Source organism: Homo sapiens, chromosome 14, assembly GCF_000001405.40.
Source record: "Homo sapiens chromosome 14, GRCh38.p14 Primary Assembly".
In the NCBI taxonomy this organism is placed as follows: Eukaryota; Metazoa; Chordata; class Mammalia; order Primates; family Hominidae; genus Homo; species Homo sapiens.
This window is the reverse complement of record NC_000014.9, coordinates 37,822,359-37,843,293: the sequence shown is the minus strand read 5'-3', so window position 1 is coordinate 37,843,293 and position 20,935 is coordinate 37,822,359. Positions and strand designations below refer to the sequence as shown.

Genomic DNA, 20,935 nt, shown 5'->3' with positions numbered 1-20,935 from the left:
CAGCCTGGCTAACATGGTGAAACCCCGTCTCTACTAAATATACAAAGTTAGCTGGGTGTGGTGGCACACGCTTGTAATCCCAGCTACTCAGGAGGCTGAGGCAGGAGAATTGCTTGAACCCGGGTGGTGGAGGTTGCAGTGAGCCAGGATAGCACCACTGCACTCCAGTCTGGGCCAGAGTGAGACTCTGTCTCCAAAAAAAAAAAAAAAAAAGGAAGAAGGAAGCCTTGCTGTTATCAGTGGGGCAAAGGGAAAGAGTTCTCTGGTTCATTCAAAGATTCCTCAGAGACACTCTATAAATAATTTTTAGTTGTTTTATTTTCACTCATCAACTCCTGCAATGCATGAATTATAAATATATACAAATTTTACATGTATTTATGATAGCTGCATTAAAGAGGCAGAGGAAACTATCTCAAGGAAACATGATGTCCAAAATCTTTATAGGTACTGTCCTAGAAGGCAGGCCACATGTAAAAGAGAAACACGTTTGTCTGTTGGAAGAATATAGGTATCAGGAAGAATATTGACCAGTATACATATTGTTTAAAGGAAAAGAGAAGGGTTGTACTTGAGTTCAGTTTTTTATAGTCATCGGTTTATTTTTTAATCTGTATACTGTTTAATACATTGTCAGCAAGGATTGATGAAAAGGTCAGTGACACTTTTTCTACAATGTATAGTATTATTTCAAAAAGAATTAAAGAAAATATTTTAAATGTTAAGAGACATTCCTATTTAATTCCTTAAGAAACATTTTCCTTGAGATTCTGCAACCTTGGAAAAATTCAGTTCTCAAGGTATTCCAAATATGCAGCAAATGATATATGTTTTATAATTAATGTATAACAAACATTTTATTAAAATGCATAGAAGGTTATATGGAAGACTAAGCATAACGAATACAATAATGAAAATGGTAGAACCTTTTAGACAACAAATATGTTTCCGTTTCAGAGAGAACAGCTGTGTAAACTACTATAGCAACCACAGTCTATGTAATCATATAACTGAGGCATAGTCTTCAAGATCAAGTGCTTGGTTATAGTCAGCCATAGCTTCCTCAATCAGACCTATTTTACCACGAACTTTTGCTCTAAAATTATATACTAGAGCATCATTAGGCTTCAAAGACAGGGCTGCAAAAGAAAAAAAATCAAGATATATTTAAGTTGGCACTCAAAAAATAGTCTCTTTTTTTACAAAAAAAAATTGGATAAGAACTTTTAAAAAAATTAACTCAATGGATGAAATCAAGAACTTTAATACTTTTAATTTGAAAACACTTTTCTTCAAACAGAACTATTTAGTTAAATTAAAAATATTGAATCTTTCTAAGCAAACTAACTTGGGGAAACACAGTACAATGTCTTTCTTTGAAAGGTTGGCATTGTTTGTGTATAGTTTTGTAATAATTCCCTATATCTCAGTTTACCACAGCTTTAAGTTAAGACATTACATAAAGGAACCTATATCGATTATATTAAGGACATGATATCTAAAAACACTAATTCTTATGTAAGTTTATCTAAATAAATAGACCTAATGATTTTCTTCTTTTGTAGCCTAAAAATAATCACTTCAACCACTGTAATCTTACCAGAATAATTACCAAAAGTGTACCTTTATTAAGGTCTTCCTCAGCTAGTTCATATTGCTTTAAGCAGTAGTAGAAATGTGCTCTATTAAAATATACTGCAGCCCAAAAGGGACAGCTTTCAATTACATTTGCAAAATCTTCTTTTGCTTCTTCATATTTCTTTAATATTGTATTTGTAATAGCTCGATTCATGAGAACATATTCATTTTCTGGATCAAATTTTAAAGCTTTTGAGAAGTAGTCACTGGCCTACAAAATATGAAGATAATGATATATTTTAATTGGCAACTTACTATACAGAAATTTGAAGCACTTTTACTCTTAATTTTAAATTAAGGCCAGTGGCATACCAAGAGGTCAACAGAAGCATTTCATCCCAGGTACAGAGGTGCATTGTCTGCAGAGAATGTAAAAAGCTAAACCCAACCAAAAGTTGACCTGCTTTTTGTTATTACCATGTGTCAGCAATTCTAGACAATGTCAACGATATAATACTCCTGTTGGCTGGGTTAAAATGCTCCCACTGGCCAGGTGCAGTGGCTCACGTCTGTAATCCCAGCACTTTGGGAGGCCAAGACGGGTGGATCACCTGAGGTCAGGAGTTCGAGACCAGCCTAGCCAACATGGGGAAACCCCATCTCTACTAAAAATACAAAAATTAGCTGGGCATGGTGGCAGGCACCTGTAATCCCAGCTACTCAGGAGGCTGAGGCAGGAGAACTGCTTGAACCTGGGAGGCAGAAGTTGCACTGAGTGGAGGTCACACCAATGCACTCCAGCCTGGGTGACAGAGCAAGACTCCATCTCAAAAAAAAAAAAAAAAATCCTCCCACTGCCTCTTACCCCAAATCCCAGATCCCTGTATAGAGCTAAAAAATGTTAAAGCATAAAATAGAAAAGAAGGCCACAACAACAGGATAAAATACAAATTAGAAAAGTAACACTTTGGTTTTTGTCATTGGTTCTGTTTAGGTGATGGATTACGTTTATTGATTTGCATATGTTGAACCAGCCTTGCATCCCAGGAATGAAGCCAACTTGATCATGTGTGGATAAGTTTTTTGATGTACTGGATTCAGTTTGCCAGTATTTTATTGAGGATTGTCGCATCTATGTTCATCAGGGATATTGGCCTAAAAATTTCTTTTTTTTTTGTTTTGTTGTGTCTCTGCCAGGTTTTGACATCAGGATGATGCTGGCCTCATAAAATGAGTTAGGGAGGATTCCCTCTCTTTCTATTGAGTGGAATAGTTTCAGAAGGAATGGTACCAGCTCCTCTTTGCACCTCTGGCAGAATTCGGCTGTGAATCCATCTGGTCCTGGATTTTTTTTGGTTGGTAGGCTATTAATTACTGCCTCAATTTCAGCACTTGTTATTGGTCTATTCAGAGATTCAACTTCATCCTGGTTTAGTCTTGGGAGGGTGTATGTGTCCAGGAATTTATCCATTTCTTCTAGATTTTCTAGTTTATTTGCATAGAGGTGTTTATAGTATTTACTGATGGTAGTTTGTATTTCTGTGGGATTGGTGGTGTTATCCCCTTTATCATTTTTTATTGTGTCTATTTGATTCTTCTCTCTTTTCTTGTTTATTAGTCTGGCTAGCTGGAGGCATCACGCTACCTGACTTCAAACTATACTACAAGGCTACAGTAACCAGGCATGGTACTGGTACCAAAACAGATATATACACCAATGGAACAGAACAGAGGCCTCAGAAATAACACCACACATGTACAATCATCTGATCTTTGACAAACCTGACAAAAACAAGAAATGGGGAAAGGATTCCCTATTTAATAAATGGTGCTGGGAAAACCGGCTAGCCATATGCAGAAAGCTGAGACTAGATCCCTTCCTTCCACCTTATACAAAAATTAACTCAAGATGGATTAAAGACTTAAATGTTACACCTAAAACCATAAAAACTCTAGAAGAAAACCTAGGCGATACCATACAGGACATAGGCATGGGCAAAGACTTCATGACTAAAACACCAAAAGCAATGGGAACAAAAGCCAAAATAGATAAACGAGATCTAATTAAACTAAAGAGTGTCTTCACAGCAAAAGAAACTATCATCAGAGTGAACAGGCAACCTACAGAATGGGAGAAAATTTTTGCAATCTATCCATCTGACAAAACGGCTAATATCCAGAATCTACAAAGAACTTAAACACATTTACAAGAAAAAAACAAACAACCCCATCAAAAAATGGGTGAAGGATATGAACAGACACTTCTCAAAAGAAGACATTTATGCAGCCAACAAACTTATGAAAAAATGCTCATCATCACTGGTCTTTAGAGAAACGCAAATCAAAACCACAATGAGATACCATCTCATGTCAGTTAGAATGATGATCATTAAAAAGTCAGAAAACAACAGATGCTGGAGAGGATGTGGAGAAACAGGAATGCTTTTACACTGTTGGTGGGAGTGTAAATTAGTTCAACCATTGTGGAAGACAGTGGGTGATTCCTCAAGGATCTGGAACCAGAAATACCATTTGACCCAGCAATCCCATTACTGGGTATATACCCAAAGGATTATAAATCATTCTACTATAAAGACACATGCACACGTATGTTTATTGCAGCACTGTTCACAATAGCAAAGACCAACCCAAATCCCCAACAATAATAGATTGGATAAAGCAAATGTGGCACATATACACCATGGAATACTATGCAGCCATGAAAAAGGATGGGTTCATGTCCTTTGCAGGGACATGGATGAAGCTGGAAACCATCATTCTCAGCAAAGTAACACAAGAAGAGAAAACCAAACACCGCATGTTCTCACTCATAAGTGGGCGTTGAACAATGAGAATACATGGACACAGGGAGGGGAACATCACACACCAGGGCCTGTCAGTGGGTGGGGGAGGGATATGTAAATGATGCGTCGATGGGTGTAGCAAACCCACATGGCACATTTACACCTATGTAACAAACCTGCACGTTGTGCACATGTACACCAGAACTTAAAGTATACTTTTTAAAAAAAGTAAACAAGAAAAAAAAGAAGAAAGAAAAGTAACACTTTGTGTACAAAAACAAAGTAAGAGCTCAACCACAAGGGAATTTTCAAAATAAGGTTCTAAGACATACAAAGAGAGATAAAAACTCAGTTACACCATAAAAAGGTATAAAAAAGAGAGAGGAAATATCAGCTTGTTGAAAAGACCAAAGACTCAAGATTATTCACAACTCATCTTCGATCTGAAAGGGACCCTCAAGTTAGTCTGCAAAACAGTATTGGAGTACTGGTCCAAGAACCATTTGCTAGAGCTCTGCAAGTACCAAAATTGAGAATAAACAATAAGTAACTTTTATAGCATTTTGACATGGCTATGACATCCCAGCACTTGATCACATTTCTAGCAATTTGTTTTTATTGGGTTTTAGCAATGTATATTTATTTACAATATACTAGAATTTTTTTAACTGGCCTTTCACCACAAATAGTTGAGATGCTGATTAGACATCCTGCTAATCAATTTAGAAATCTCTAACTCCCTGATGGATGAAAACCTGGCTCCTACTTTAAAACCTACCTTAAAGAGAGAGTCACTTTTCACAGTACAGCTTGCCACTCGCCAATTACTTAACACTCAACTTTTTCCCAACCAAACACAATCTGGCTTCTATTTCCCCCTATTCCATGAATTCTGTTGTTGCTAAAGTTGCAGATGTCCTCAAGCCTAATGAACACATTCTAGTTCTTGTCTTCCATGACATTTCTGTGGCATGGACACATTTGGTCTCTCCTTCCTTCTTAAAATTCTCTCTGTCACTGAACTATTTTCCTCTATGTTTCCCGAAGATCTGTCCTCTATTCACTTCCATCATGGGTGATATGGAACACTGATTGCACAGTGGCTGGGAGCCCAGACCATAGAGTCAGATTGCTGGGTTTACATCCTGCCTCTTCTTTGGGTGAGTTACTAAAACTCTATTTGCATCAGTTTCCTCATCTATAAAACAAAGGTAACAAATAAAACTCCACTTCCAGTGTTGATGTGAGGGTTAAGTGAACTAATATGTAACATACTGAGAACAATATGCAGAAAATAGTAAGGACTCAATCAATTATTACTTATATATCATGTTTTTCCCAGTGTCTATACATGGAGAGGGAACATCACCTTTAGGCAATACTCCATGAACTTTGCTTCCTCTTAATTAGGTAATTAGTTCAAGATGTAAAATCCATCTCATCCCTGGGACAGGTTGGGGGGAGGGGGGACAGAATTGACATCCTTCTGTGAAGAGTTTGAAGAGGATTCACTCCTGAAGAGAAGGTTGCACCCCCAGTTCTCAGAAATGAGTCAAGGGAAAGACTCCAAGCCAGGCCAAGACTTTCTTCCTAAAGTAATTTAGACTTCATTTTAATTCACCAATAAATTATCAATAAAGAAGACACAATTATACATCACAAGGCATACCTTCAATCATGTAAAAGCAAATTCTTTTTCTCAGGTAAGAGAAAAGAACTTTGAACTGTGTAACTTTCTACTATAGCTTCCAAATATATTACTTAGAAAATGAAACCTATAAATTTAATGAGGTTACTTGAAGTATCAGAATATTAACTAAGAAGCAGTTAGAGGCTAAAGGTATCTACCACAACAGATGGTCTTGATTTTTTAATAATTGGTCTAATGCCCTTATGTTGTAATTAATTAAAAAGCAGATCCAGTTATTTTTTAATGTCACCTGTAGTTCATAATGTATGCAAGTAGCACATCCAACTGTGGTTTAAGATCATTAAATCACATTAAGTGGTTATCATTAAGTCACTAAAGATAAAAGAAGCCAGATTACATACATTTTTTAACCCTCTAGAGTTTATTAGATCAGATGAGGGACCCTTCCTCCTAGCCTAAGTCTTACCTCCATTATAGTAAGAAATAAGGGGATGAGGGTAGAGGGTGACAGGGAATAGAAGCCATTTTCTCTACGAAGGAGGCTCAAAGCATGCTAGAATAGCTGAACACCTGTTCCCAAAGCCTGCTAGTCTCTGGAGGGAGTGTGCACTGTAAAGCTCAGGCATACAGTATATCAAGTCAAAGGATGGGACATATTTTAGATGAAATATATGCCCAGATAATTTGTCTACACTTTGGAAGGAATAGAGTTATACTTAAAAAAAAAATTTAAACTACACTTTAGATCTAACCAAATACTTTTCTACATGATGCCCATATAGTAATCAAAGACAAATGAGTGAAAAAGGTGAAGATCTCCCTTTCATGCAGATCTTAAACATCTATGGAAATAGAAAATTGCCCTGGGAATTTTATTTGCCTTGATCACATTAACTAACTACAATGCACATAAACATTTCTAGGATCCAGCCAGAGAGTGATCTGAGTTTGGTTAAGTTAGAGACAATTGATCTTTGAGCAATTGTCTTTACTGACAGGATAGATGTAAAACTGACAGGATTAGATGACATTAGCTTAAGGATGTAAGAAAGAGAAAGTTATGGTTGACTCTGACATTTCTATTCAAGTGACTTTATGGAAGATGACAACTCGAATTGAGAGAGGATTTACATGAAGAAAGCTCGGCTGAGGATAATGGATGGAGAGATCAATTCAGAATGGGCTTCAATGAACTTGTAAAATATCCAGTTTTAGCAACTCTTAAATATGGGTTAGGAGCTCAGAAGAAAGAAGGAGGGTTTCAAGTAGTGTAAGTCATGAGAATAAATGGACTTTCTGAGCAGAGAAATGTAGAGATAAGAGGGCAGGGTGTGATTCCTGCCCCTTAACAGCTTACAGAGTAAGGAGATAGAGATCAACACAGAAACAACTGCATGACATAAAGCAGTATTGAATCCGTATAGAGAGAATTATATACAAAGCAAGAAAGACTCAAGATCTCATTTTGAAATTTAAAACTACAAACCTCAAATGAGGACTTAATGTTGTTACACTCTAATATGTTGATCTTACCACTTTCTAACACAATTATTTAACATTTTCTCTCTTCTCTTTAAAACTTCTAGCCATCTTGTCTTTCTTTCTTCACCGTTCACTCCCACTGTTAACTGGTGACTAATACTTACATCCATGGAGAAGATATAATCAATAGATAGGATTACATACTATCAAAATCTACATTCAACTGTGCCCAAACCCTCTGCCTTCCCTAATGACATAATGGGTAGTGTGTTCTGCTCCCATCAAGGGCCACATCTGCAACTTCCAAACTCTTAACTTCATCAAATTCTCAAAGATTTTGATCCTAATTATCCCTGACACTCTCATTTACCAACAATTTACTAGTTTATTCTTATTAACATTGGAGCATAAATTGGTATCTCTCATCTTAAAGACACACACACAAAAAAAACCTCTTACCCTCAAAGTCTCAAAGACAATTAAAAAAATCACCAGGAAAAAATAGTATTTCTACAATGAAAAGTAAAATTGTAACATTTCACACCACACTCACCCTGCCATGGACACCACTGGTGCTTACACACCCAGCCCAGTGGTCTAAAGATTGACCTTCCCAGCCTACCGCCCTCACTGCCAGTGCCTATGTGCCCTGCCAGGAGTGCAAAGACTGGCCGCCCAGGAAAAACCACTGCCTGCAATGGCCCCCATGTGCTACCTCAGGGCCTGAGGACTGGACTGCCTGGCATCACCATTTCCAGCAAAGCTTCACCACAGTGTCCACAAATAACCACAGCCTAAGCCACCAAGGAACTCACAGACACCACTGATGTTGATTACAGATGAAGTAATCATATGGAGACTATAATACTCTCTGGTGCCCACCCAGAACCAAAGCCAAAGTACCCTATTCAACTCACTTTATAGATATATCTACAGAAAAAAGTCTTTCCCTATGGAAGCTACTTAATAAAATTGGAAGAAGTGATGGTTACACCAGATGAGCAGATATCAATGTAAGGACACAAGAAACATGAAAAAGCAAAGAAATACACCTCAAAAGGAGTGCAATAAATCTACAGTAGCAGACCCCAAAGAAAAGAAATTTTGTGAAATGTTTGAAAAAGAATTCAAAATATTGACCTTAAAGAAATTTAGAACAAAAGAACACAGATAAACAATACAAAGAAATAAAAAAAACTTCATGATTTAGATGAGAAATCGAACAAAGATAGATATCATAAGAAATTAATCAAAGAGAAATCCTGGAACTGAAGAATTCAATGAATGCAATAAAAAATACAATCAAGACATTCAACAATAGACTAAGTAAAATAGGAGAAATAATTCCTAAACTTGAAGACAGGTCTTTAGAAATGAAATAGTCAGACAATAATAATAAAAAGAATAAAAACAAATGAAGAAAGCTTACATCATATATAGGATACCATCAAGTGAACAAATATTCAATTTTGGGAGTTCAAAAGAAAAGAAAAAGTCATAGAAAACCTATTCAGTAAAATAATAACTGAAAAGTTCCCAAATATTGGAAGAGATATACATATAGATACAGGAAGCTCAAATGTCCCCAGATAGATTCAACCCAAAAAGGCCCTCTCCAAGGCACATTATCATCAAACTGTCAAAAGTCTAAGACAAAGAGAGAGTTTTAAAAACACCAAAAGTATCAAGTCACATATAAAGGAATTTCTGTCAGACTAACAGCTGATTTCTCCACAGAAATCCTATAAACCAGGAGAGAATTAGATGATATATTCAAAGTGCTGAGGGGTTGGGGGGAAGAACTGTTAGGCAAGAATACTATACCCATCAAAGTTATTGTTCAAAAATGATGGAGAAATAGTCTTTCCCAGACAAACAAAGACTGAGGAAATACATCACCATGAGACCAGTCCTACATGAACTGCTTAAGAGATTTTTACATCTGGCAGCCAAAAGACAATATCCACCATCATAAAAAATACACTAAAATATAAAACTTACTGAAACAACAGACACACAAAGGAGAAGGTGAAAGGAATCAAATGGTATCATTATAGAAAGCTGCCAAATTTTATTATCAAAGATAAGCAATAAGAAAGAAAAAAAGGAACAAATATAGAAAACAATAAGAAAACAACAAAATGACAGAAATAAGTCCTTACCTATCGAAAGAACTCAGAATGTAACCAGTTTAAATTTCCCAATTAAAAGATATAGACTGACTGAATGGATAATAAAACAAGACCCAACTATATGCTGGCTACAAGAAACACATTTTACCCATTAAGGACACACATGACTGAGAGTTAAGAGATGTAAAAAGATATTTCCTACAAAACAGAACCCAAAACAAGGAGTTATATCAAACAAAACAGACTTCAAGTCAAAAAACATAAGAAGAGACTAACAATGTCATTATATAATGATAAAGAGATCAGTTAAGCAAGAAATATAACAATTGTAAATATATATGCATCAAACACTTGAACACCCAGATATATAAAGCAATTATTATAGGTAAAGAGAGAGAGCTAGACTCATTAATAATAAAACAATATTTGGGGACTTCAACACCTCACTCAGCATTGGACAGATTATCTAGACAGAAAATCAACAAAGAGACAGCAGATTTAAACTGCACTACAGACCAAATGAATCTTGCAGACATTTACAGTACATTTCATCCAACAGCTGCAGAATACTCATTCTTTTTTTTTTTTTTTTGATGGAGTCTCACTCTATCACCAGGCCAGAGTGCAGTGACACAATCTCAGCTCACTGCAACCTCCGCCTCCCAGGTTCAAGTGATTCTCCTGCCTCAGCCTCCTGAGTAGCTGGGACTACAGGTATGCACCACCACACACAGCTAATTTTTGTATTTTTAGTAGAGGCAGGGTTTCACCATATTGGCCAGGATGATCTTGATCTCTTGACCTCGTGATCTGCCCACCTTGGCCTCCCAAAGTGCTGGGATTATAGGCATAAGCCACCGCGCGTGGCCAGAATACCCATTCTTATCAGTACATGGAATATTCTCCAGGATAGGCCACATATTAAAACACAAAACAAGTCTCAACAAATAATAAAAATCAAAATCATATCAAGTATCTTCTCAGACCACAAGGGAATAAAACATCAACAACAAGAGAAGCTTTGGAAATTAAATAAGCAAATGAAAATTAAATAATATGCTCCTGAACAACCATTGGGTCAATAAAGAAATTCAGAAGGAAATAAAAACAATTCTTGAAACAAATGAAAATGGAAACACAACATACCAAAACCTATGACATGCAGCAAACCTAAGAGGGACATTTATAGAGTTGAATGCCTACATCAAAAAAGTAGAATGATTTCAAATAAACAATGTAATAATGCACCTCATAAAACTAGAAAAGCAAGAACTAGCCAAGCCCAAAATTAGTAAAAAAAAAAAAAAAAAAAAAAAAGAGAGAAAGAAAAAGAAAATAATAAATATCAGAGCAGAAATAAAGACTTAAAAAATACAAAACATCAATAAAATGAAGTTATATTTTTGTAAAGATAAACAAAACTGATAGCTAGACTAACTAAAAAATGAGAGAAAAGACCCAAATAAACAAAACTGAGAAAACTTGGTATCCATTTGCAGAAGAAAGAAACTAGACCCCTGTCTCTCCTTATGTACAAAAATCAAATCAAAATGGATTAGACTTAACTGTAAAACCTGAAATTATAAAACTACTAGAAGAAAACATTGTGGAGATGGTTCAAGACATTGATTTATATGGCACAGATTTTTCGAGAGTTAAAACCACAAAAGCACAGGCAACAAAAGCAAAAACAGACAAGTGGGTTTATATCAAGCTGAAAAAGCTTCTGCATAGGAATGGCAATAATCAACAGGGTGTAGAGAAAACCTACAGAATAGGATAAAGTATTTGCAAATTATTCATCCAATGAGGAATTAATAACCAGAATATATAAAGAACTCAAACAACAGCAACAAAAAAGATCTCATTCCCATTAAAAAGTGGGCAATGATCTGAAAAGACATAACAGACGGCCAACAGATCTATAAAAAAATGTTGAACATCACTAACCATCAGAGAAGTACAAATCAAAACCACAATAAGGTATTATCTCACCTCAGTTAAAATGGCTATTGTTCCAGAAAAAAAAAATGGCTATTGCAAACAAAGAAAAACACACACAAAAAAAACGTCTGGCAAGAATACAGAGAATCGGAGCTTTAGTACACTAACGGTGAGAATGTAAATTAGTAGAGCTACTATGGAAAACTGTATGAAGGTTCCTCAAAACAATAGAACTATCATATGATCCAGCAATTCCATTGCTGGGTATATATCCATAACAAAGGAAATCAGTATATTGAAGAAATATTTGCACTCCCAGGTTTGCCCAGAACTATTCACAATAGCCAAGATATGGAATCACCCTAAGTGTCCATCAGCAGGTGAATAGATAAAGAAAATGTGTTGCATATATGCAATGGAATACTATTGTGTCATTAAAAAGAATAAAATCCTATTATTTGCAGCAACATGGGTGAGCATAGAGGACATTATGTTAAGTGAAATAAGCCAGGTACAGAAAGACAACACATGTTCTTGCTCATATTTGGAGGCTTAAAAAAAACAACTTTGTCTCATAAACAGAGAGAGTAGAATGATGGTTACAATTGGCTGGGAGGGGTGGGCGAGGGGATGAAGACAGGTTGGCTAATGGGAACAAAAATACAGTTATATGGAAGAAATAAGTTCTAGTATTTGATAGCACAGCAGAGTGACTATAGTTATAACTTATTGTATATTTCAAAATGGCTAGACGATTTGAAATATTCTCATCATAAAGAAACGATAAATGTTTGAGGTGATGCATATTCCAATTACTTTGATTTCATCATTACACATTGTATGCACATATCAAAATATCATGTGCCCCATAAATATGTACAATTAGTATGTATCAATAAAAAATATAACATTTTGAAATAAAATGATTTTGAAAAAAATTCATTTAAAAAAATCTATTTTAGAAAAAAATTTTTAAGGAAGCAATTGCCATCAAGAAAAAATGAATCAGAAATACAGGAACCCAGAAAAGAGGTGACCAGGAAAAAATGGCATGGAAATAGGATAGAACTAGAAAAATAAAATAAAAAGGAAATCTAACTTATGAGGTCCACAGGGATAACAGGTATCTCAGGAAACAGTATAAAGATTTAGGAAAAATACAAAAGAAAGACAAAGAAAATGAAACAGACATTAAGAAATAAAAAAATTAAGAATAAATCAAAATTAAGGAATATACAACATCTATATAATTGGTATCCCCAGTGAAGAAAATCAGAACAATGAAACAGAAAAAAAAATGTTAACTGAATTCAACAACACTTATCTGAAATCTATGTACTGAAAACATATACTGTGTACTTGATAAATTTAACCTGCAGTGGTCAACTCTAAGGAATACCTTGGTAAAACTTTTCCCTTAAAAAAAAATGTGGTTATCTTGACAAAAAAGAGCAAGTTGCTTTTAAGAAAAAGAAAATCCGTTTTGCATCATGCTTCTTGACACCAACATATACCACCAGAAAAGAAAGCAGCACTTACAAGACACTCAAGGAAAGAAAAATGAGTCAAGGAGCCATGCTGTCTTAAGGTATAAAATAGGCTACAGGCAAACAGCTATCAACATGCAAAACTCCAAGGAATATTGTTCTCAGGAGCCCCTCCTTAGAACTCTACCAGAGGACTAATTTCAGACAACCAAGAAATTATTGTGGGGAAGGGGAGTTTGGCAAATAGTCTGGTGATGAGAACTGAATATATTTAACTGAAGAACTAAGACTAAAATGTGCAATAAGGGTAACAAAATAATACATAAATATTAAATCTTGGTCAGGCAGTGTAGAAATAATAAAACTTACAACAAAATGGGAGAATTAATTTATGTGTTGCCCAAGTGAACCCACAGTAACTATTCTTTTGGATTTCCCCAAGTGTCAGCACTTGCCTTGCAATATCTATTGTCACCAGCTTCTAGCCTGGAATCCTCTGTTCTTTCCCCTACTTAGACTTCCTTCAAGACCATCCCTATGATGTGATTATCTAACTCACCTTAATTCATACCAATTTTTATACCCAAGAGACTGTGGAAACCAAGTTTATGTGACAAGCTGACATAATAAGCTCAAGCATATTTAAGAATATGAGGATAAACTTTTTTTAAAAAATTACTAAAATTGAATAATGAATGAGAGAGAGGAGGAGTTTACAGGGTAATTTTATTGTTGTTCATAGTAGAGAAACTAAACTAAGAGTATTAATGTTATTTTTATAAAGATAATCACTACAACAAAACTATAAACCTTCCTAAATATTACAAAAACTGAAAAAAAGCCAAAAAATAAAAAACCAGGGAGTTAAATACTTTCAAAATACCTTTAACATAAACACACTTGCATTACATAAAATAACAGAACTAAGATCAAATGTATTGATCATGCCAAAATTAAATGGGCTTAACTTGCCTATTAAAAGAAAAATATTTTCAAATTAGCTCTCAAAGTAAAATCCGATTCTATACAGTATAAAAGAGACATACCAAAAACAAAGGATTTTAAAAGTTGAAAATAAAAGGAAAAGCAAAGGAATACCAGGCAAAGCAAATCAGAAGGTCTCAGAGGTCATGATCCTCATATCACACAAAGGAGAATTTGTTCCACAGAGTATTAAAAGAAACAAAGGAGGAAATCTGTAGTGCTGAAGGCTATAATTCATAATGCATATATATTAGGTATAAATATCTATACATGAAATAATGTAGCAGCAATTTTCACAAAGCAGGCATTACAAGAGATGCAAAGAGAAATATATAGGAACCCTCAAATAACAGGATACTTGAATAAATCTCTCAGTCCAAGATAAACCAAGTGAAAAAAAAGTATGAATGTAAACTAATTAATAACATAGACTTCCTAAATGTAGACTTAAATCCACATCCTGATAGTAGATACCCTTTCTTAGGAATGACCCTGACATATTCAAAACAATGTTTTTATATTAGACTTCATTAAAACTCAATAAATTCCAGAATGTAGAAAATATAAATGTCCTTCCATCTGGTTAAATGCTCTGTTAATTTATTCTTTAGTCAAATGGGAAATAGAAATTACAGGTGGAAAATCTGGGGAAAACATTAATAAAACCATTTCAGTATATACTTAACACTACTGAAATGTACACTTAAAAATGGTTGAGATGGTAAAGTTTATGTTATGTGTATTTCACCAGAGCTAAACAAGCAAACATTACAGAGCCAAATGTGTGGAATGCTGCCAAAACAGTACTTGGGTAAAAGGCATACTTTTAATAACTTATTACAATATAAATGAAAGGGTGAAAATAAATTAATTAAGCTTCCAACTCAAAAAGATAAAGAATAACAAGATAAATTGAAGGGAAGCAGAAAAAAGAGTGACTATAAATAAAAAGGAAAAATTTAAAAATTAAGAGTTTGAATCATGTAAATGCATTATGATTCAAATGAAATAAATTCAAAAAATAGAAAATATCATCATCTAATGACCCAACATTTTTGTTTCAGACATTATGAATTGAAGTCCAAAGAGATTAAGGTGTCACACAAAACCAGAACTAAAATCCAAGTCTTCTTATTCCCAGTCCAGTGGTCCCATGGCAGAAATTTGGAAAAAGTATAAATTAAGGTGAGTTAGATAATCATAAGGAGGGTCTTGAAGGAAGTCTAAGTGGGGGAAAGAACAGAGGATTCAAGGCTGGAAGTTAGTGACAATAGATATCACAAGGCAAGTCCTCACACTTGGGGAAGTCCAAAAGGATGTTTACTGGATGCTCACTTCGGCAACATATACACTAAAACTGGAACAACACACAGAGGGTTGGCAAGCCCCCTGTGCAAGGATGACATGCAAATTCATGAAGCATTTCATATTTTTCAGGGAAAGAAGGATAAAATATCAAGGAGCATGAGAAAACTTTTGGTGCTGATAGATATGTTTATTACCTTTATTGTAGTGATGATTTTGCAGGGGTACACATATGTCAAGACATCAAATCGTACATTTTAAATATGTGCGATTTGTTGTATGTCAATTATGTCTCAATAAGATTCTAGCAAGACATTTATTATGATAAAATATGAAAGAAAAAAATGTTTACAAGTGTTAATGAGGAGAATAAATCCATAGAGGCATAAATATTTAATGGATAAATTATAAACATTCTTATGAAAGATAACATTTTAAATAAAAGAGCTAATAGCCAATGCATTATTAGCCTGAGATTGTATGAATTATACTTTGAAGCTATATATAATAAAGAAAGCATTCCAGGTCAAAAAGAAAGCGTTAAGTAAAACTCACATTACCTGGGAAAACTGCCTGTGGTGAAAGTAGATATTTCCTGCATTAAAGTAAGCCAGCGAGTACTTGGGGTTTAGAGTAATTGCATCTTGGTAGTCTTTCATTGCATTCTGTTTGTGGCCCATAAACTCATGAATCACCCCACGATTTGTTAAGAATTCTGCTGTAGTACTGATCTGCAGTATAATATTATGATTATTTAACATTGGGGAATAGTATTTACCTCTGATGTCATGTCTGCCAAAATGAACATTAGGGAATCTACTTGTGGGAAATGAGTAATTTTATAGTGCATGTAAAACTCCAGTAGAACAAATATTTTGAGAAAGGAGTTGGTATGAAGTTGGTTTAGTGTCAACACTTTGTTGATTTGGTTGCAATAAAACAAATAATCTTAGTGTTTTTTCACTCAGTTCCTTTCCAAGGAATAGACAAAGTGGAAAAGCTTATCTGTTTAGCTGTTAAGCTAGAGAATAAATTAAATTGAATAGTTAACAGGCTTATTTGTCCTATGTAGTAGCAATTATCTTTCAGTTCTTTCCTTTTTCTCATCTCAAACACTACAACATCTGCCCAAATCTACAGAATCAAAACCCAAAAGCTAGAAGTAAAGAAGAGTTTCTGTCACTGCATTCAACATGAGATTTTTACTTGTCATTTCACTACAGGAAGATTCTGGGGATTTACATTGTTCTCTCTTTAGTTCCTTCAAACCTAGAACATTATTTTATGTTATGCATTCACTTTGTATTACAAAATAATATTGATGTCCCATGAAAGTATAAAGCGTATTTACTGAAAGTGATCAACATTTATCAGAACTTTGGGGTTTTAGTGCATTTCAGTTATAAAATTGGCAAGCCATAACTCTTTACCCTAGGGATCACTTGGGTTAAAAAAAAATACAAAACATTATTTTCTCCATAAGTCACTTTAAAAAGCTAACAGAGAACTTCTTACTTGCACCTATTCATTGACAGTGTTAATTTATGCTAATAATAATATAATCTAAGATGGTTTTTACCTTCATGGCAGCATTAATATCCTGCATTGCAGCAAAATTATTACCCATCTGAAGACAGACCACAGCTCTTCCTTCATAGGCTAGGTAGTTCTTTGGATCAGTATCTATGGCAATGGTAAAGTGGTTCCAAGCTTTCTGGAATTTTCCTTGGGCCTAAAATAATTTTCCAATTACACGAAGTAGGAAATACTCCATAACATGACAAACGTTTATGATTCTGACTCCATCAAATAAAACCTTTAGTAAGGGTATATTTATGCCATGCTAAATCTAAGTTCTTTCAAACCAGAAAGTAGGCATACTGAATGCATACTGTGGCTGCATTCAGTTGCCTAATTACCTCTGAGTATTTATGATGAAATTTTAATTAATTAAAATAAATTTAACTTCCGAGTCATCTCCTGTACCAATCCCGGACAACATAAAATCATAGCCACCATGTGAAACGCCAGTGGTTTTTACCAACACAGAAAAATGCGCATTGAGCTGCACACACATAAGGAGGGATTGTATTTATTTGGTTCGCACTGAATCTCCAGTTATAGATAATATATACATAATATACATAATAACATAAATATGTATTGAATAATAAATTAATAAACTAATGGTGTAAACATATTCTGATAAATCACGCCAGCATCTGGAGTTTTAGTATCACTATACGTATTCCATGGAAAATACATGCAAATCTACCAAGCTTCTGTTTATACCAACTGGAAAAGAAAGAAAAAGGTCAGGAGAGGGGCATTGTTAACAGAACGATGTCAGAGTGCTTCCTAGAGAAGACCAGCTGGCAACTAAATGCCTCCACAGAAAGGCAGTGAGTTAATAAATTCAGTACAGTCTGGAGTCTGTCTTTTTTTCTGATGGGCTAAAAAAACCCATCTTGCCAGATCTCGGAAGCTGACTCACTTTAACCAAGCTGAGCCTAGGGACTCTCATATAAAAGTAAAAAGAAATACAACTGTTAAGGGAACAAGACCCTGTTTCCTGACCATCAAATCTTCTCTCTCTGGGTAAACCATTTGTAAATCCACACTGTCAACACAAGCTCATTTAATAAACAAGGAATCAGGCAAATTGAGATTAGATTATTAGGATATTAAATAGCAAACTGCCTCACAGTAAGATCTCTGTCATCTGCTCCAGACCACATCTGTTGTGCTCATTTCTATATTTCTAGTGCTAGGCAAATAGTAAGGGAATCTGTAAGTATTTGTTGAACAAACTGTTGCTCTTTCCCTGGACAGAACTCAGATGGGCCTAACTCTCCTTTTGCAGTCCTCCTTCCTGACTCAATTCTTTACACTCCTGTGCTTTTCAATTCTTTTTCAGGTTGCTATACACCCAGTGAGATCTTCATAAAATGCAAATTTGATGTCACTTCTCCTATTAATGCAATTCACATTTTTAACTGGACCATAAGGCCTTTAACTCCAGCCTCATCTCATGCCCTGCTCCCTTTGCCCATAACATTCCATTCACTTGGGCCCTCTTGTCTCTTTCTTACAAGACTTTCTGATGGGCTGGTTCCACTTTACGGAACACTGTATCCTAGCCACGGCCCCTGCTTTCACATCTCAACATTGTTAATTTCTCAAAAAACTTTCTCTCACCTCTCAAACAAAGCTAGGTTATTTTTCTACAAGTTATACTAAAACTCATCCTTTTCCTTTGTTGCACTTATCATGATTATAATCAATTATTCATATGATTAATTGTTTGATGCCTATCTCTCCACTGGGTAGTAAACTCTGCAAGAAGAAGGAAGTATAATCTTGTTCATTGCTATATCCCTAGGCCTAGAGCAGTTTCCGTTCTACATTTAGTGCTCAGTTAATGTCTGTTGAATGCAATGAATGATGATGATCTTAACACATTTCACTGGATTGCAGTCAGCTCTAGCTGCCTTGGAAATCCCTCTCTTTAAATGGACTTTGCAAATTTCTACTGTGATCCAGTAATGGCTAATTTTCTTCCCTTTAGCTTTTCACTAATGCAACAGGACAAAACCTGTGGGGCCTAGGTATATAAGCTAGTAAAATAAATGTTACCCAGGTTCTTATAGATGAACTTCATCAGGCAAATTTTAAAAGTTGTTTGTAAGTGAGGAGGAAGGTAGGGAGGGGTGCAGACATAAAGGAAGCTCAGGTTCAAAAGACTTTCATCTAACCAGCCTACCAGCTCCCCAGGCTGATCCAGATCCAGGCAGCCTCTCTATAACTAACTAAACCCCTGCTCCCACTGCTACTCTGGAACCTAAAAGTAAAGAAAAGGTAAATGTTCATAACCAAAGAAATAACATATACTCCCATTGCCAGGAAAGAGCCAAATATATTCTTTCTCCCCAAAACATGCTTTTAATGCTCAAAATGTTGCTATATTACCTGCAAATTATAGCCAAAACTAATTCTGGCTTTTATGTATGCTGGATTAATATGCAGTGCTTTCAGAAAGTCTTTCTGTGCTTGCTTGGTGGCTTCATCATGACCGTATTCCATGTAAGAATTTCCCCGTCCAACATAAGCATCCAGAAAACATGGGTTAATTTTAAGAGCCCAAGTAAAGAAATTGACAGCTTCTTCAAACTCATTAATTCTGCAAATAAATAAAAATATTGATGCCTTCTGGTGAACTGATGCATTCTGGTGACATATACAATGTTTTCCTATAACTGACTTTTCCATAAAGATTTGAATTGACTCATTAAAAAATCTCCATTTCTATTACCCATTGTAGGAGGTAGGCACATAAGTCCATATGACTAAGGAAGTGTGACAGGTCCTTCGAAGATTTTGGTAAAAGGAAAGATGGCAAGAAAGGGTCATTTTCATAGCAGAATGTGATGGGATGATATTCTGGATCTTTCTCAAGTTATTAAAGTCCACATGGCATTCTTAAATCTGTTTTTAACAGGTATCAATTACCAGTATAGAAAAACATATGCTACTATTGATGAAATGTACTTTCAAAATTAAATTAAACTTATTTATATGTATTTAATATTTCCTTATACAATGAAAACAGCCAGATTTTCATCACATGGGAGTCCTTACATCAGATCTCCTATAAAGGCAGGCCATTTCACTGTGGACACCAGGAGAGGAGGGGAGAGAAAAAAGTAAAATGCATTTTATTTATCAACTTGTGAATGTATTTGGCTAAATGATAACTCTCTCTATCCTCCCTAATTACTCTCTTGTGGTGGAGGTTAAGGCTGCTAAAGGCATCAAATGTTTGTTCATGGGCATATAAAGTCACTTCTCCATTTCATATGCATATCTAATAATAATATTTAGTTTCAATTAACATGGAGAGAGTCTAGGATTTTTGAAAATGGAATGGAATAAGGATACTAGCAACTAGCAGTGTTTACTTACCAGGTACTGTGCTAAATACTTAACATATGGTATTTCCTTTAATACTTCCAACAATTCTGTAAGCTAGTTATAATTATCTACATTTTACACATGAAAGGAAAATTATGGCACAGAAAAGTCTGCACACAGGTAATGGCACAGTAACTACCATACTATGCTTGCACAGAGAAAATATCTGAGATTCATGTAAGCCTTACTCCAAAATCCATGCTTTTCCACACAGCCACCTCTACCACACATTCTACACCTATTATATACCTGTGGTTGGTGCACAAGAAACAGTGAGCTGGTATCTCAACAAGGTAGCCAGAAGAAAGTCTTGGAGTTTAGATTTGAGCCTGAACATGCAAATTAATATTAATTTTTCAAGGTTGTTATGAGGCTCAGATAAGAACATGTGAAGAACACCTAGCACAGAAACCTTCACCCAATAAAGATTATATCTTCCTTCCATTCTCTTCATTACTTCTCAAACAGGTTTCAAATTTTAGTAAGATGTATCACTACTTTGCCCATTTTTCCTTTATAAAATACATGGAGCCCAGGATAAACTGTTCCAGAAATTATCATCTTCTAGAGGTTACTCAAGAGTATCTCTTAAACCAG

General features: G+C 35.1%; 1 protein-coding gene and 1 pseudogene across 11 annotated transcripts in view, besides 1 other annotated feature; one reads left to right on the top strand and one right to left on the bottom strand.

The window, feature by feature from the left end:
* Positions 1-576: 576 nt before the first annotated feature.
* Positions 577-20,935, bottom strand: part of TTC6 (tetratricopeptide repeat domain 6) — a 247,089-nt gene continuing 226,730 nt past the window's right edge. For 10 of the 11 annotated variants that reach the window (NM_001310135.5, XM_017021254.2, XM_017021255.2 and 7 more), the window contains 5 exons: positions 19,337-19,547; positions 16,947-17,099; positions 15,928-16,098; positions 1,624-1,849; positions 577-1,139 (listed from right to left, as the gene is read on the bottom strand). In NM_001310135.5, the coding sequence (NP_001297064.2) occupies positions 1,003-1,139; positions 1,624-1,849; positions 15,928-16,098; positions 16,947-17,099; positions 19,337-19,547 (898 nt within the window). In that variant the 3' untranslated portion in view covers positions 577-1,002. Of the gene's footprint in view, positions 1,140-1,623; positions 1,850-5,751; positions 5,973-15,927; positions 16,099-16,946; positions 17,100-19,336; positions 19,548-20,935 lie in introns of those variants that run through there. The other variant, XR_007064009.1, reaches the window with a different exon arrangement.
* Positions 7,671-8,170: an enhancer, noted in NCBI's record as "H3K4me1 hESC enhancer chr14:38304329-38304828 (GRCh37/hg19 assembly coordinates)". NCBI's record gives its function as "activates a minimal SCP1, AML or CMV promoter by ChIP-STARR-seq in naive H9 embryonic stem cells {active_cell/tissue: H9 hESC(naive)}" and the evidence as "EXISTENCE:reporter gene assay evidence [ECO:0000049][PMID:30033119]".
* Positions 15,390-15,496, top strand: RNU6-1277P (RNA, U6 small nuclear 1277, pseudogene; annotated as a pseudogene).